General features: G+C 40.7%; 1 protein-coding gene across 4 annotated transcripts in view; it reads right to left on the bottom strand.

Annotated features, from left to right (window-relative positions):
* ADAMTS16 (ADAM metallopeptidase with thrombospondin type 1 motif 16) overlaps positions 1-19,278 on the bottom strand; it is a 179,975-nt gene that overhangs the window by 87,096 nt on the left and 73,601 nt on the right. For all 4 annotated transcript variants that reach the window (NR_136935.2, XM_047416874.1, NM_139056.4 and 1 more), the window contains exons 11-12: positions 10,325-10,420; positions 693-841 (exon numbers count right to left, since the gene is read on the bottom strand). Coding sequence is in view for 3 of the 4 variants with exons in the window: in XM_047416874.1 (XP_047272830.1) it covers positions 693-841; positions 10,325-10,420 (245 nt within the window). In the remaining variant the exon portion in view is untranslated. The remainder of the gene's footprint in view (positions 1-692; positions 842-10,324; positions 10,421-19,278) is intronic.

Below are 19,278 nucleotides of genomic sequence, written 5' to 3'. Positions count from 1 at the left end.
CAAATTTGCTTTTTTCCACGTAAAACCATTGTTCTTACTGATCTTATTTATTTGTATTCTATACACTTTTCTTATGATTTATTTATTTGTTTTAAGCAGATCCTTGGTATGTCAAGTAAATGTGGTTAAAATTCAATTCCTGAATATCACTGTTGCTGCTGTTATTTTTTTGCTGTGGTCAGGTAGTTATAAGCATCTTAAGTTATAGCACAGAGAGGTAATTAAGAAATGCTTGAGTGAAATACCTTTCCTATTCAGTGCTTCTTACGATTATATGTACAGTACAGGCTTGCTATTAAGAGCTGAGGCCGGGCGCGATGGCTCATACCTGTAATCCCAGCACTTTGGGAGGTCACGGCGGGTGGATTACCTAAGGTCAGGAGTTCGAGACCAGCCTGACCAACATGGTAAAACCGTGTCTCTACTAGAAATACAAAAATTAGGAGGGCGTGGTGGTGGCACCTATAGTCCCAGCTACTTGGGAGGCTGAGGCAGGAGAATAGCTTGAATCCGGGAGGCGGAGGTTGCAGTGAGCCAAGATCACACCACTGCACTCCAGCCTGGGTGACAGAGCGAGACTCCATCTCAAAAAAAAAAAAAAAAAAAAAGAGCTGAGACACAGGCATACTGCTTGGAGGGTTCATGGCATGGAAATCAGTCGTTTGTGAGGAAGGAGGTCAAGGCATACTTACTTGGGGTTGGTGCAGAGGCGACTCCTATGAGATACTCCCCCTCCGCAGGTCCTGGAGCATGGGGACCAAGAAGACCAGTCCGACCAGTGGCCATGGGTGGGCTTGGGGCCTTCATCACCATATTTCACACACTGTCCTCCCCGGCACCACTAAAATTTTCAACATAAATAAGTTGACTTGACTCACACAGATGGATAGATGGGTTCATCTCATCACTGCTATAAGGCTGAGCAGTGGGGAATTTTGTAAACTATGCAGACATTAGCCTCCCCCTACACTCAAGCAGCACCTAATATAAATACAGTACATTCAATGTTGTTTTTTTTTTCCTTACCCAACCTAGCATCCTCCTATAAATTCACATACAGGGAAAATGAATAGAAAAATCATTTTCAAATGTCTGATCTCCCGGAAACTTGACACTTTTAATGAAGGAGTGTTATCTGAATACTTAGTCTGGCTGTTCAACTCCCAAGTCGGTGAACTCTGACCTGTCCTGAAAACAAGGTGCTTTTCACATCTCATGTTCAGAACAGAGAGAGTCTCAGGTAGGAAAGCACAGCTGGAGGCTCCACATGGCTCAACACCTTGTCATTTCAGGCCCATAGTCTGTGCTTTCCCCCCAAAGCACCTGGGCTCGGAGCCTTGGGACGATTAACTGATGCCATGTTAGAGGTCACGCAGCTTCCAGGGTGATGAAGCAATCCATGTGGAATTTCATCTGTCCCCACGAAGGCTGGAGATGCTATCTCTTCCCCTTTCTCCAGACAAGTGCTCATTCATTTTAATTCATGCTAAATTCCGCATGGCAAATTCACTGCACCACACATCAGTGCTATGCACTATTTAACACCGTGTCCAACAGCGGTGGTTCCCTGGGTGGTTTGGTATGAACTTCTAAGATTTTAAAGGTCCAGACTGTCCAGACTGTCTGTTGCGAGGAAGAAGGAAGATGTTTGTCTCTTGTCCTGGCCCCAGTGGAGTGAGAAGAGCTTGGTCTGTGGGCTGGGGAGACCTGAAGTCAAGTCCCTTTTTATCTCCAAGATTAGAGCCACTAGATTTGTACTGACAGAAAAAAAAAAAGGCTACTTTCATAGGAGGAAAGTAATACTTCTATTATTAGTTGAGGTATTAGGGTAACACATATCAAACTACTGATATCTGACCAGTGTTGGCACATACTATGGCAGTTCAAATGGCCCCATTTAATGCTATTTAAGTAAGAACAATTCCATTTAAAAACAAGAAATTCTGAAGAGTAAAGCCTCATCCATTCATTTCTTTTCTTTAAGCAAAACAACATCATCTCTTCCATCCCTGCCTGCCCTCCCACCCGGTGTAGAACAAAGTCCACTGTCTCAGGCTCAAGGAGAAGCCCATTGCCTGGAATAGGCTCCTGCTCTTGGACAGCATCCTACAGGTGTGGGGACAGGAGTGAGGTTGCACCGGTTGTCAGAGAGGAAGGAGATGCCAGGTGTGTGCTAGTTGTTGTCGTTTTCTTTTCCCCCCTTTTTAAAAACCATCTGGTCATAGCTTTCTAATGCAGGAGACATGAAACATAAAAATGGAATTTCAACAGGTTGAATAACTGAAAATATTTCTGGGAAAATCTCTCTTGGTTTGAAGATGAAGAACAGGATTCGAAGCCCCAGAATGAGGTCAGGTTAGTGGAAGACAGGAGCGCTGTCTCAAAAGCAAGGATGTTTATCAAAGAAGCACTGTTTTTACCAGGAATCTGTGAGCAAACTCAATGTGCATCATAACATCGTTGTTGATTTGCTGTTGTTACCTGGCAAAGTTCATAGACTCAGAAAGGCGTATTGACATGGTAATAGCTTTCACTGTTTTGTTTTTGTAAAAAGCTTATTTTTTAATGAAAGATTTAAAGATATACACAAGTAGAGGAAATAGTACAGGAGCCCTTGAAACCTGCAGTCCTGCCTCAACATTTAATAACTCACGTCCAGTCTCATTTCACATAAATGCTTGTCCACTTTCTCTCTCCCAACACTGACTCCCAGACTTGAAATCATTTCTTCGAAGCTCTTTCACTAAGGGTTCTCCAAATTAAGAACTTTAAAAAACATAACCACAACACCATTATCATACCTAGAAACCTACAATCATTCCTTAATATCATCAAATGTCTAGTGAGTATTCAAAATTCCAATTTGGTATTTTATTTTCTCTCAGTTAACATAGAATCACAATCAAAACACGGTTCGTTTATTGCATTCAGCTGACATGCTTCTCATGTCTCTCTCCACATTCAAACTCTCCCTTGACGTTCTGTTTTTCCTGAATTCACGTGATAAAATAATGGATCTGTTTGTTGGGAGTTTCCCATATTCTGGATCTTGCCAGCTCCATCTCTGTGGTGCCATTGAACACGTCCCCTGGGTTCTCTAGATCTGCTATAATCAGGCAATTGGATCTAAGGCATTGGTTAGGTTCAGAGTTGGATTTTTGGCAAGATTGCACCATTGATGGCTTCATGTATATGCACACAGAATGCCTGGTGAGGCCCAGAGCATTGGTGTTAGGATGCTTCAGTGTTCAGGGAATATAGGCTGACTTGCAAAGGTCCCCATCAGCTTCCCACCTAATACTTTTAGCAGCCATTAACAATCATTTCCCAGATCCTTTACATCTTTGAGTGTTGCAAGGCTAATGATATTCTAATTCTTTTTTCTTTTTCATGACTGGCTGGATTACTTCTTTTAAGAAAAAACAACCTTCACCAAATATCTCAGTACCCTGAGTTTGAGATCGTACAGGAAAACCACGATGCTTTTCTCTAAATGATAAAGAAAAATATGCTAATGTCATATGTTTCTTTTGGAAATGTTTCTTGAGTTTCCTCTTGACAGGAGCCAGGAATCTTTGGCAGGCTTCTAGCTTTCTGACTCAGCAAGGTATCCGAGGCTCATCTTGTACATTCCTTGTGTTGGGAACTGCTGCTTGGTGTTAAAAAAATCAACACTGAGACAAAGGATCTCTCAGCAAGGCTAGTTTACTTTCTGCAGAAAGGGTATACACGCCAGCAGTTTTGCCACCAGAGTACACCGAACAAAGGATACAAGGTCATTTATAACCTGACACATCCACCTTACTGCAGTGTCTGGTTTCCATTGACTGGAACGGAACCTAACGTTCTCTATTTATCCCAATTGGTTAGCAACTTAGAACTTCTTTTTTTTTTTTTTTTTTTTGAGACGGAGTCTCGCTCTGTCGCCCAGGCCGGACTGCGGACTGCAGTGGCGCAATCTCGGCTCACTGCAAGCTCCGCTTCCCGGGTTCATGCCATTCTCCTGCCTCAGCCTCCCGAGTAGCTGGGACTACAGGCGCCCGCCACCGCGCCCGGCTAATTTTTTGTATTTTTAGTAGAGACGGGGTTTCACCGTGTTAGCCAGGATGGTCTCGATCTCCTGACCTCGTGATCCACCCGCCTCGGCCTCCCAAAGTGCTGGGATTACAGGCGTGAGCCACCGCGCCCGGCCAACTTAGAACTTCTTAAAAGAGGCAAAGGCAGAGGAGAACAAAGGAAGGAAGAAGTAACTTGTGGAATGCTGACAAAGGTAAAAACACCTTCAAATAAGGAAGAGGAACAGGCTATGACCTAATGCTTGCTTGGACCAGTATAAGCATGCCAGGGCAAATATTCAGGCTAAAATGTGGGAGCTAAGAACACAAAGTACATTGATTTCTTTATTACGGCTAGCAGATATCTAAGAATGCTAGCACGGGTCTTGAATAAATTTTGCTTCTAAGGGAAGTTAGTATTTATTCCTAATTAGATGGGGAGAAAAGTCTCTTTGAAGAGGAACCTCTACTACACTGTTTACACTTGTTATAGGCCTGGAATCATCCATTTATACAAAAAGTTCTGGCTCCTTTTATTGAGAAAACTAGATTAAGAGGCTACAGCCTCTTAATCTGTTTGAAGGGTGGTTATTGTTACTGAGTTGGTAAATAGAGCTTTTGTGTGAGTGTATCTTTAAAAATTTTAATTTTAAAGAAAAAATACTTCATTAGTTCTTAGAAATGTATTAATTTTAAATTTAGGACTATAAATGTTACTTAGCTTCTTTGATTTTATATTTGTATCTCTTTTATATATTAAAAATCTTGGTTCTTAACAATATAAGCACAGTTAGTACTTCCTTTATCCTAGCAAAATAAATCCATCAATAATAACGTGATTACTGAAAACAGTTTAAAATTATTTGTAGCATCTTTTTTCTCCACTGAATCTATCCCACTTGGAATGTACAGTCTAATACTGGAGTTTAAAGTCTCTTGAAATAATTCTTCTGTTAGGATTCTGGTTAAGCTAACAACTTGATACATTCAAAATGTTTCATTCTGCCTTTGATGTTTAGGGATTATTTAACAGCATTTTAAGTTATCTAAAATATTTACAAGCTTTTTCAGCATTTAGGGTTTATCCTTTTTAATGTAAGCAAATAGCTATTGATTAGTATTTCCTTTTCTTTGATAAATGACAGCATATTACACAGAATTTTTTCCATCCTACGTTTCCACTTAACAATATGTTCTGTTCATCATTCCACAGAAGTATATAGACATGTCCCTCATCGCATTTTTACAGATACATAATATTCCATGGGGTGTTTATCCAACCAGTCCTCTACTGATGGACATTTGCATTATTTCCAGTCTTTTGCTGTGATAATGACTGTTGCAATTCCTTGTATTAGGCTGATGCAAAAGCAATTGCAGTTTTTGCAATCAAAAGTAATGGCAAAGGAAACACCAAAAGATGCATTTATTAAGACAGTGCAAAAGTAACTTTGGTTTTTACATCTTTTGTTATTTCTGTTAGAGTATCCTTAAATGATTTTCCTACTTTTAAAAAGTATTAAAACAAAAAAATTTTGAGAATCTGATGAGAAAGCACTGTATCTTCTGCTAAGGAGGTTGGGGGAAATATAAGTGCATGTAGAGACACACACACACACACACACACACACACACACACACACACACAGTATTAGATCTAATTTTAGGCACACAACAGACCGGTGGAGCCATCAGGTCAAAATTAAGAATGCTGTGTTAAATATATATATAGATTTCCACGGAAATACCAATTAGGTTTCTTAGGACTGACTTTATCACAGTTTTGTATTTTATTGACAGATACGATGACTTATGAAAAAGGCTTTATCTTAGAGAGTAAGATGCCGCAACACAGTCCCTACGCCTGTGGCGATTACTGTTCACAAAATAAGCACGTCACACCTAAACGCAGTAGATGCAGGGGAGCAGTGTATTAAAGCAGGAAAAAAAGCACTGAGTCATCAAATGGGCATCATAGATCTGCTCTGCGAGCTGCGTGACCTGGGGAAGGCACCCATGTGCTCTGAGCCCGGTGTCCTCTTCTGAAATTAGCGATGATAGAAACTACCAGAATGAGTTCAGAGGGAGGGTTCAATGTAAGGACTAGGCCAAGTGCCTAGCACTGGACCTGATAGAATCACACAGTGACAGCTGGTTTGATTTCACAAGAGAGGTCCCCAGTGACCGAAGAGCTAGAATCCATCAGATACGCATTTCAGCTGTGGTCCCCACCCCTTGCCCTGGATTTCTCCTGGGGTGACCACAGAGGAACCCAGGGTCTCTTTCCCAGAAGAACTCTGGAATGTCCAATGGGGACTGCACTAGGCTCACCTGTAGGGCTGTTTTGAGGATGAAATGTACTAAGCTTAGAATTTGGCATTAAAAATGAAATAAATATCAGTCTATGTTACCACCTTATGCAACCACTGTGGAGCCTCAGCAGCACCCTCAGTAGCAGAGAGAGGAGACGAGGTGCCATCAAGAAGAACAACAGTGGGATACTGACCGCTGGCCACACACACATCTAAACTGATAAACCTCAGGGGTACATGCAAACCAACGACACACAGACACACAACTAATATCAAAAGGGACTGTTTACGTGAGACTTGGATGTCTTATATGGTTTGGCTGTGTCCCTACCCAAATTTCATCTGAAATGTAGCTCCCACAGTTCCCATGTGTCACGGGAGGGACCTGGTAGGAGGTAATTGAATCATGGGGGCGGGTCTTTCCCATGCTGTTCTCATGACAGTGAATAAGTCTCATGGGATCTGATAGTTTTATACATGAGAGTTCCCCTACACAAGCTCCCTCTTGCCTGCCACCATGTAAGGTATGACTTTGCTTCTCCTTTGCCTTCCACCATGATTGCGAGGCCTCCCCAGTCATGTAGAACTGTGAGTCCATAAACCTCTTTCCTTTATAAATTATCCAGCCTCAGGTATATCTTTGTCAGCAGCCTGAGAAAATACAACGTATGAAAGGAAAATAAAATCTTGGACCTTCACACTCACTATACCAAAAGGAAAAGTTAAGCTTGAGAACTGAGTCGTGCAAAAACCGCCTCCCATTTTGATTCTAAATAGAGAGATGCGAAGATGGAAGGCCACGTGTCTCCATGGGTGGACTCCCTCACAAATTACTCACAAGGAAGTTCTTTGTGGGCCCCCAAATCTTTACCCTAAAACAGAGCTCTGTTGAATTTCGCCATGACCATGTGAATTAATGAATTAATTTCACCATGACCATGTGAATTAATGAATTAATTTCACCATGACCATGTGAATTAATTATCTTCACAGATACAGGGCAAAGACAAGACTAAAATTCATCTCTCCACTCACCCCAGGCAAATGCATATTTGCCTGCTTCCTCTACTCTATGTTTTCTTTATACTCACGAATCTTCAATCCTCCACTCACATGTAAAATGTGGATTCAGTGAGTGTTGACTGAAGCTTCCAAAGAATGCAACTGCTGGCCTTATTTGTCTACTCTCCCCTCTTTCTTCTTTCCTGCTTCCTTTGCTCCTCTTTCCTTTTTTTTTTTTGAAACCAAGTCTCCTTCTGTTGCCCAGGCTGGATTGCAGTGGCATGATCTCAGCTCACTGCAACCTCCGTCTCCGGGTTCAAGTTATTCTCCTGCCTCAGCCTCCCGAGCAGCTGGGACTACAGGCATGCGCCACAACGCCCAGCTAAGTTTTGTATCTTTAGTAGAGACAGGGTTTCACCGTGTTGGCCAGGATGGTCTCGATCTCTTGACCTCGTCGTGATCTGCCCACCTCAGCTTTCCAAAGTGCTGAGATTACAGTCGTGAGCCACTGCGCCCGGTCTCTTTCCTCTTTATATACTGAAGTCATTAAAGTCCTCTTTGGAAAGAGCAGGGATCACAGGTCCTCCTGTGATTTTTGTCCCGCCCCCTCCCAGAGCACATCCCCAACTTTGGAAAGGTAAACCTCTACATTCATTGAGATTTGCCTCAGTTATTTGCTTTGGCTTACAGAGTCCCACACTGGCCACTGAACAGCCAGGTGACCCTGGACAGAACTTTATTGCTTTGGACCATGGTTCAGCTGTGTAATTTTTAGGAACCTACTCTATCTCAGCATAGCCTTTTTGTTTTTTTTTGGTACAAAGGAAAAAGCTATATTTGAAATACAAGGGAAAATAATGTCAAATATCAATGGAAATCAATTTAATGGTGCCTTTGAGATAAATAAAATGTAACCAGAATGTACAGGTTATTGTGAAAAAGCATCACAACTACATTACCCAGGGAAAAGTAGCACCTGACCACACAGAAAGCAGGATGCCTGGAGGACCACCTTGTGTTTCATGCAGGCAATAGCTCAAAGGCAACATCAGAAAGGCTGTTGGTCTTTTAAGAAACAGGCATAATTTTGCAAATGATCACCTGAATAATCCATTTTAATCAATGACAGCAGAAAAGTCATGATTATCTGCAGCTTAACACTCAAGTAAATTACCTGATGTCCTTTGACAATTAGAATTTCCATGCCATATCTCATTATACTCATTTTCTTTCAAGAAACTGAAAGCAGTTGGCCGGATGTGGTGGCTCACACCTGTAATCCCAGCACTTTGGGAGGCTCAGGCAGGTGGATCACGAGGTCAAGGGGTTTGAGACCAGCCTGACCAACATGGTGAAACCCCGTCTCTACTAAAAATACAAAAATTAGCTGGGTGTGGTGGCGGGCGCCTATAATCCCAGCTACTCAGGAGGCTGAGGCAGGAGAATTGCTTGAACCTGGGAGGCGGAGGTTGCAGTTAGCTGAGATCGCACCACTGCACTCCAACCTGGGTGACAGAGCAAGACTCTGTCTCAAAAAACAGAAAAGAAACTGAAAGCATTGCTATTACCATTACATATTATGGATTAAATCAACTGGATCACTGGATCACTAGTAGAATTCAATGAATTAGAAGAATTCAATGATCAATTTCACGCCCTTCGAGGAACTGAAAAAAAAAGCATATTAGCAATGTGTCCAGAATGAATGGTGGCTGGGGGCTATTCTCAATAAGTTTATCTTATTTCTGTTCATTTCTTCAGTTGGCACTGCAATAATTTAACCTGAAAACGTGTGTTAGCATTGTTGTTAACATTTTAAAACCTTTCTGTCTGTAGTCACATTCGAATATGTATAAGATGTGATATATTTTCTTTGGTATTTAAACATAATAGAACAATGATATTTAGGCATGTTCAAACACCATACTAGATCAATGCCTAAATATCATTTCATATTCACTAATGCCACTAAAAACTCAGATACATAAAAAGCAAAAATAGTTATAGTGATAATGTGGGTCCAGGATCTATCTTTATTAATAGTCTTTTATATTTAAAAAATGTAATTATAAGTTAAATCAAAAGAATTAAAATATTAGTATGGAGTATTATAATTTTTTAAAGTTTTAATAATGAAATTGTCATTCTTTACCATTTAGTAATAAACTTGTTATCTTGTATATTTCTTTTTTTTCCGACTTTTGTTTTAGGTTCAGGGGTACATGTGCAGATTTGTTACATGGGTAGATTACGTGTCACTAAAGTTTGGCATTCGAATAACCTCATCACCCATGCAGCAAGCACAATATGGGATAGTGTTTCAACCCTTGCCCCCTCCCACCATCCCCCCTTAAGTAGTCCCCGGGGTCTATGGTTCCCATCTTTGTGTCCATGTGTACTCAGTGTTTAGCTCCTGCTTATAAGTAACAACATGCAGTATTTGGTTTTCTGTTCCTGCATTAGTTTGCCTAGGATAATGAATGGCCTCCAACTACGTCCACATTGCTGCAACATCTTGTATACTTCTTCTTTTCTCTACCATAGCTCTCTCTCTTCTCACAGAGGCAACAATAGGTGAAAATGATGTGCTCCAGGGTCTTCAAACCGATGTTCTGTGGCTTTCACAGCACTGTTTAATGCTGGTCCTTTCCATGATAAATGGTGGTCAATGGCTTAATGTTTCCCCTCAATAGACTGAATCTGTCATCACCTGTTGTCTGATTTCTATGTCTATGAATTCCAGGTAGCTCATCAATTTTATTTTCACAAAAGTGAGAAAAGGATTCCTCTTCACATTATCAATATAAAATAAACACAGTGTTTGATAGGAGCATGGGTATGCATATGTATATGAGAAATACATGTTTTAAAAATACCTATGCAAGAGGAGCAAAGATGCATGGGTTGAAAGACTAGCATCTGAATACGATGCTGTACCTACAGTTAGCTTCTTACCATGTCATGCCCACAAATTGTGCCTTCTGCTGCTGGCATAAATTTAGTCTCACATTTCCTTCCAATACGATGGCACCACAGGGCTTTACAGATGTCCTAAAGAAATTTTGTAAAAGGTCATTAGGATTACATCATATTGTCAATTCATCTATAATAAAAATATCACTGAGAGATTTAAGGTGAAAACAACAGATATAATTTACAAGCGAATGCCTACTTAGCAATATGATAGCATATAATAGAGTAAGGTGTAAGGAGACTCATGCTCTAGACTTGGTTCAAATTAATTCCATCTCTTATACTTTATTTGTTTTATTTATATATTATCTTTTTAACAAAATTATATTTTCTAAATTAAAATGTAAAATATGCTTAATTCAGACATTGCAGAAAACTATAAAAAGTTAAAATAAAAAAACTAAACTTAATATTTCATAATGTATCCTTCTCAACCCCACCTTCCTGAATCTGTCCAAGTCTGAATTCTTATTTTTAAATTAAGGATGTTTAGGATGCTTGTTCACTTGTCCATCCATCCATCCATCCATCCATCCATCCATCCATCCATTTAACCATGCATCCACCATCCCCAAATCTGTGATTAAGGCTTAAAATATGTGAGGCATCTTGCCAGGCAAGAGGTTCCATTGTGAACATGACCTTCTTTGCCTCTTGGTCTTCATAGGGTAAAGAAGGAATTTGCTGTAAATCACCATTTGGCGCATACAGAAAGAGATGCCCCAATGAAAAAGATTTGTAAACTATAAAAGACTCTCCGAGTGCAAGGAATTGTTTTTACTGAGTCCAAAGGAATGTCTCAATGAAGGGCAAACAGTAGGACTTGTGAAATGATGGAACCTTCTGGAATGCTGGCGGTAGACTCAACTGGACATGCTGAAAACATTTCTTAAATTGTCTGCACAAGTGTTCAGAACATTTAAACAAGTGCTGCATTATTCCCCCAAGAAATTAAATGGATGCATCTACTGGGTGATTCATGTCATGAAGAAAATGCAAGGCAGTGAAACACATCGACGTAGTGCAGCTGGGAAGATGGCATTTTGCTGCCTGGTGATCTCACTCCATATTTCCACCATGTTAAAGGAAGGTTTTCTGCATTGTGTGAGTCATCTCATGAAGGGTTTTAACACCAGTTCTTAAATCTCCTGCATGTATTTCATTATATACTTAGAAGTTAAGGTGCTTATTAAAGACACAGCTTCGTATTTTCCCTGGCTATATCTCCTTCACTAATAAACCAGATTTTGGAGCTTGAAATGTTAACAAGTAAACGTTCAGTGTTTTAATTCAGATATCAATTGCTTTCATATTGCGCTGTGGTTTAAAATCTCATATGGTTACAATCACTGTGCAATGAAATGTCATGATCTTTCGAGTCCCCTGGGATCCTCGCCATTGTGATAAGTGTGTTGTGTTAATGGCCAGGGCTTTGCCTGGCTGAGGTCTTTGTCAGCAGGGAACAAACAGTGATGCTCCTATGGCTGCTCCCATGAAGACTGCTGCGAGCACCCGGGTATGTTCTCTTTCAGACAGGCTTTAATTACGTTCATTACTATATGGTGTCAGGGGCCTCTGTTCTTGGCCAGAACGGAGTTTAGAGATTAAAAAAAATGTATGCAGAACCCAAGGAACCCATGAATTCAAGGGTCCTGAATGTAATTCTCCAAACAGACAACTGGCCAGCTCTATTTGCTTGCAGGAATGACAACTTGATAGAATGCCAGGATAAAAATAAACTCCCTTAAAACCACAGCCTGTGCACACCGGCTCGATGTCTGGGTGGCAATATGATAGGTCAGAACGGGAGACTAGGGAGAGAGATTGAGCAGCCCCTGGGCGGCTCACAGAGGCCTCCTGGACCGATGGGGCGTAGAGACCTCCTGCTTCAGGAGGCTGAGCATGCATACCTAAGGAATGAATGAATGAGTGTGAAAGCAGATTCCTTCATACTGAATGAATGAGGGTGAAAGCAGAAGCTGCTTGTGTGGTTGGGTGATCTGGGAGATGGCCACAATGGTCCAGTAGAGTTTGGGATTCCCAGGTAGATAAGCAGCTCCAGGGTGAATTTTGCAAGCAGATGTGGGCAGGCAGGACCCCTGAGTCCTCACTGTGCACATGAGGACAGCAACGTCTAATCGTGGACTTGTCCTGGGGACTAAATGCAGTGGTTATAGGTAATGTGTTCAGCTCAGGGCCTGGCACCTGAAGTAAAGGCACTAGGGCACTGCACCTTTCCTTTCTCGCTTAAGGGCTTGAGGAGACAATGGCACAGGTCTCCGTCTGCGTTCAGGGCTCTGCCGTGTGGCTGCTGTGATCTTAGGGATCTAGGGTCCTAATTCACAGGGCTGTTTCTAAGGCTACTCAAAATAATACAAGGTAAAGTGTGTTTTAAAATGTTAAATTATTGGCCGGGCGCGGTGGCTCACACCTGTAATCCCAGCACTTTGGGAGGCCGAGGCGGGCGGATCACGAGGTCAGGAGATCGAGATCATCCTGGCTAACACAGTGAAACCCGTCTCTACTAAAAATATAAAAAATTAGCCAGGCGTGGTGGCGGGTGCCTGTAGTCCCAGCTACTCGGGAGGCTGAGTCAGGAGAATGGCGTGAACCTGGAAGTTAGAGGTCGCAGTGAGCCGAGATGGCACCACTGTACTCTAGACTGGGTGACAGAGTGAGACTCCATCTCAAAAAAAAAAAAAAAAAAAAAGTTAAATTATTTTACTATGTTCCTTATCATTATCTGGTACAGTGCTTGCTACTCGTCTTTCAATAAATGCTTTCTGGGCACATGGAACATGTAGTCATTTGCTCCTGTGAAAACCAGTGACAGAGGACCAGGAAAGCTTTACGTACAATAACATTAGCAAGAATCAGGAAATCGTGATCATAAAAAGCCAAAGATGACTTAAGATGACCATGATTCAGACTACCATTCAGAGTAACTTCAGAATATTCTTAGGTTTTAGTTTTGGGGAGCATTTTGCAGAATAAATACTGATGATGATATTGTTAAAGGTTTGGGCTTTCAACTTTTTAAAGTATAAAGCCTTCAAATATAGGATGCTGGTGACAGCTCACTGCCAAGTCATGTGGCTCTCTAATTCAGTCTGTGATTCGGCTCATGCCATCTGTGTTTTTCAGCCTCATTTTGGGACCTGCTCAATCCCCAACTCCAGTCCTCAAGGCTGGAATAAATCACAAAGTTAGAAGAAACTGACGATCATATAACCCACGGTATTGTCTTTCAACACTTAAAACATAATTTGGGACCTTGGTATCCTGTAGATGTACTTGTCTGCCATTTAATAAACATGACACTCTGTCCCATACAAACGAATAAAAACTATAGTGTCTTAAAGAGTTGCGATGACAAAATAAAAATATTGTACATTCTCATTCACACGTGGAAGTGAAAAAATGGATTTTGTAGTGGTGGAATGATAGTTACCGGAGGCTGAGAAGTGTAGTGGAGGGGGATGGGAGGAATAAAGAGGAGTTGGTTAATGGGTTCAAAAATACAGTTAGATAAAAGGAATAACACCTAATGTTTAGTAGGGCCATAGGGTGACGATAGTTAACAACAATTTATTGTATATTTCAAGATAACTAGAAGAGTGTGATGTTCTTTACACAAATAAATGATGAACATTTAAGGTGAAGGATATCCCAGTTTCTCTGCTTTGAATATTACACATTGTACGCCTGTATTGATATGGGAGGGGGCAGGGAGTTGCTGAGTAGAGAAGGGGGGGTCCCTGGAGAGGGCTCCACACTCAGGCCTGTACCACAGACCTAAGTGAGAACAGACACTCCTGTTTTCATGCCCAAATGTCGCATTTTCCAAGACTACTCTGGCCTGCCACGCCCCCGATCCTGTGCCCGTGGAAACCTGAGACCTTAATGGGCACACACAGTGGCTGAACGTGGTCAAGAGAAGCAGAGGAACAGACCAGCAGACACCAGCAGACCGGCAGACCAGTGACGGTGGAAAGATGAATGACGTGGCAGAGGAAGAGAGGAGGGATGTCTGGATGCTAAGGGGAATTCAGCTGGGGGCAGCCAGAGAAGGGTCTGGCCACTGGGCAGCCTGACTCCAGGGGAAGACCACCTTCCCACTCCATCCTGCTCTTCTGATTCCCCATCCACCTTGCTGAGAGCCACCTCCACTACTCAATAAAACCTCGCACTCATCTTTGAGGCCACAGGGGTGACCCAGTTTTTCCAGTACACTGGGAAAGAGCTTAGGATACAGAAAGCTGTCACACTGGCCCTCTGCCCTTGGAATAAGGCACAGGGTCTATTGAACTGGTTAACACAAGCCATCCACAGATGGAGAAGCTGAAGGAGCACACCGTAACACATGCTCACTTGGGCTTTGGGAGTTGCAGACACCCACTCCTAGAGGCTGCCGTGGGGCCGGAGCCCAAGAGTGCTCCCCACAGTCTCTGTACCTGCCTGTCTGCGTGCTCCCACTAGGGGTTTGAGCAGAGGGGTGACAGAAGGAGCGAGCCACACCCCTGTCTCATGTCCTGCAAGGGGGAAAATGGAACTCTTCTGTTTCAGTATCGATGTATTACAAGCACCCCATAAATATGTGCAACCATTCTGTATCCATAAACATTAAATAGAAAAAGTTAAAAAAAGAAAAGTAAACTACAAATGAGCAGCCAAAAACCAATTGTCCTGTCCAACTTTATCACTTTGACTTAACTGCTAACTTTATGGTACATAACATACCATGGTTTTATTAAAGCACTATTGTTGTAGGTCATTATATCCTTAATGAAACTTCAGAGTCTTCTTGGAACAAAGATCCTATTAAATCACGGTTCTAGAGTCCAGGCAGTTGGAATGTAAGACTTGCTGGGTTTTGGGGTTACTCCCAATTTAACAACAGTACCTAGGATGCTGAGGTGATCAAATTTCAAAGCAATTCTGGCGGCTTATGTTTCAGATTGCAGGGTCAGGCCACCAAAGCAATGATGATAAAGCATGATAGGTACACGATGAAGACAAAATGTTTTTAATAACAAATACCTAACTTGGGCAGAAAAGAGTCAAAACCTACGCAGAGTATTTACTCTTGCTTTATCTTTGTAGCTAAGGTATACTATCTTTAATGAAGCCTCTCTCTTTTTATTCTAGTCCATAATTTAAGAGTTATGTTCACAAAAACCAATTTCAGTAATACCAACTTGGTTAAGGTTTAACACCACAACATAACACCCCAGGTAAAACCAACATTTTCAGATGGCTGGGCTGAAACTGCATTGTGGTGCTTCAATATTGTGAATGGCACACTACCAGATTCACTTCCTCAAATTGTCTGTACTACACTCTTCAACTTGAGTCGGATTACAGACTCAAACCTAAGACCTGAAACTATAAAAATTCTAGAAGATAACATTGGACAAACCCTTCTAGACACTGGCTTAGAAAAGAATTTCATGACCTGTTCACTCTGATGGTAGTTTCTTTTGCTGTGCAGAAGCTCTTTAGTTTAATTAGATCCCATTTGTCAATTTTGTCTTTTGTTGCCATTGCTTTTGGTGTTTTAGACATGAAGTCCTTGCCCATGCCTATGTCCTGAATGGTAATGCCTAGGTTTTCTTCTAGGGTTTTTATGGTTTTAGGTCTAATGTTTAAGTCTTTAATCCATCTTGAATTGATTTTTGTATAAGGTGTAAGGAAGGGATCCAGTTTCAGCTTTCTACATATGGCTAGCCAGTTTTCCCAGCACCATTTATTAAATAGGGAATCCTTTCCCCATTGCTTGTTTTTCTCAGTTTGTCAAAGTATGTTTATTGCGGCATTATTCACAATAGCAAAGACTTGGAACCAACCCAAATGTCCAACAATGATAGACTGGATTAAGAATATGTGGCACATATACACCATGGAATACTATGCAGCCATAAAAAATGATGAGTTCATGTCCTTTGTAGGGACATGGATGAAATTGGAAATCGTCATTCTCAGTAAACTATCGCAAGAACAAAAAACCAAACACCGCATATTCTCACTCATAGGTGGGAATTGAACAATGAGATCACATGGACACAGGAAGGGGAATATCACACTCTGGGGACGGTTGTGGGGTGGGGGGAGGGGGGAGGGATAGCATCGGGAGATATACCTAATGCTAGATGACGAGTTAGTGGGTGCAGCGCACCAGCATGGCACATGTATACATATGTAACTAACCTGCACAATGTGCACATGTACCCTAAAACTTAAAGTATAATAAAAAAAAATAGAAAAAAAAAAAGAATTTCATGACCAAGAACCCAAAAGCAAATGCAATAAAAACAAAGATAAATAGCTGGGACCTAATTAAACTAAAGAGCTTTCACGTGGCAAAAGAAACAGTCAGCAGAGTAAACAGACAATCCACAGTGTGAGAGAAAATCTTAACAATCTATACGTCTGACAAAAGACTAATATCCAGGATCTACAATGAACTCAAACAAATCAGTAAGAAAAAAAAAATGGGCTAAGGACATGAATAGACAATTCTCAAAAGAAGATATACAAATGGCCAACAAACATATGAAAAACTGCTCAACATCACTAATGATCAGGGAAATGCAAATCAAAATCACAATGCAATACCACTTACTCCTGCAAGAATGGCCATAACTAAAAAATCAAAAAACAGTAGATGTTTGTGTGTGGATGTGGTAAACAGGGAACGCTTCTACACTGCTGGTGGGAATGTAAACCAGTAAAGCCACTATGGAAAAAAGTGTGGAGATTCCTTAAAGAACTAAAAGTAGAACTACCATTTGATCCAGCAATCCCACTACTGGGTATCTACCCAGAGGAAAATAAGTCATTATTCAAAAAAGATACTTGCACATACATGTTTATAGCAGCACAATTTACAATTGCAAAATTGTGAAACCAACCCAAATGCCCATCAATCAACAAGTGGACAAAGAAACTGTGATATATATATATATATATATATATATATATATATATATATATATACACATACACACCACATATATATATATATACACACCACATATATATACCACATATATATACCACACATATATATACCACACATATATATACCATATATATATACCACATACATATATATACACCACATATATATATATACCACATATATATATACCACATATATATATATATATGTAATGGAATACTACTCAGCCATAAAAAGGAATCAATTAACAGCATTTGCAGTGAGCGATGAGACTGGAGACTATTATTCCAAGTGAAGTAGCTCAGGAATGGAAAATCAAATATTGTATGTTCTCACTGATATATGGGAGCAAAGCTATGAGAACACAAAGGCCTAAGAATGATACAATGAACTTTGGGGACTGAAGAGAGGGAGGGGGCCGAGGGATAAAAGGCTACAAATATGGTGCAGTGTATACTGCTTGGGTGATGGGTACACCAAAATCTCACAAATCACCACTAAAGAACTTACTCATGTCACCAAATACCACCTGTACCCCAATGACTTATGGAAAAAAAGAATGCAGTTACAATTGATGTTACAGTCAGATATACAGGGCATTGTCATTATTTATTCTTCAAGCAGTGAGATGCTTTTATCACTAATCCTGATTATCACTCTACATCAGTGACAGAAAAAGCCATTGTCATATATGTGTCACATATTATACATAAGTATGTAAACATACATACACATCAAATATACATTCACATATACAAAAAAAGGATGCATATGCATTTACATTGTCTATTCACTTTTCAAAGGAAATAATGTTAGCTATTTAAAAGAGATTCATCCCTTCCTAAAATATCATCCATCCATCATCTAGATTAGCATATTTCTGAGTGACTCTACTGTGCCCAGGGCTGGTCTGGGCACTGGGCCATTTGCTTCTTATTGTTATTTCTTGTTTTATATCCTCCCATTAAGAAACTTCCTGATCTCTACATTTCATCTGAACAAAATAGGCCCTTTTAAATAAAAATTGAGCAGGTGTTCATTAAAAAAAATAAGTTTTATAGTTTAAATTGTTCTGAGATGTTTCAATTCACATAGAAAATTTTTAAAAATCTCTAATTGCCACACCATATGTAATTTTGAGATTTGGTGTCTGAGAGATACTGGCCACACAAATAGCTTCTAATTTTTAAAAGAAAATACAAAGCTGGGTGCGGTGGCTCACAGCTGTAATCCCAGCACTTTGGGAGGCCAAGGCAGGCGGATTGCTTGAGGTCAGGAATTCCAGACTAGCCTGGCCAACATGGTGAAACACTGTCTCAACAAAAAATACAAAAAATTAGCCAGGCATGGTGGCATGCACCTGTAACCCTAGCTACTCAGCATGAGAATTGCTTGAGCCTGGGAGGGAGAGGTTCCAGTAAGCTGAGAGCTGGGATGGTGCTACTACACTCCAACCTGGGCGATAGAGCAAGACTCCATCAAAACATAAATAAGTAAATAAAAGAAAAAAGAAAATACATAAAGTTTGTGTTAAAGAACAATTTTATATATCATAAGGAATGATCTGACATTATGTGATTTTAATAGATGTACTGTTTTTTCAATTTTAAAAGATACTTTACTTCTCCCACCGTCCACTATGAAGTAACTGGTATCAAATTCACTTTTCTGCAAAACAAAACAAAACTGCCACAAAACTATGAAGTTATATACACCACATATATGGACCAATTGTTTCAGGTCTTGACAATAGTCAACACAGTACTGTGATGCTCGAGAGAAGGAAAACATGCAAGGAGAATGAACGCCGCATTTGCCCACCTCTCTGCCTGGGAGCACTTTGCAGACCCCGCTGTTGGGAGGTGGATACCAGGTGGATGATAGCAGTCTCACTGACTGGAGGATGCAGAGGTCAGAGTAGAGGCCTGTTCAGCAGCTAGTTGAGAGTCAGCTCATATAGAAAAAAGTTGCATTG

This window comes from Homo sapiens, chromosome 5 (genome assembly GCF_000001405.40).
Source record: "Homo sapiens chromosome 5, GRCh38.p14 Primary Assembly".
Classification (NCBI taxonomy): Eukaryota; Metazoa; Chordata; class Mammalia; order Primates; family Hominidae; genus Homo; species Homo sapiens.
The sequence above is the reverse complement of the archived record's forward strand: the minus strand, read 5'-3'. Positions and strand labels throughout refer to the sequence as shown.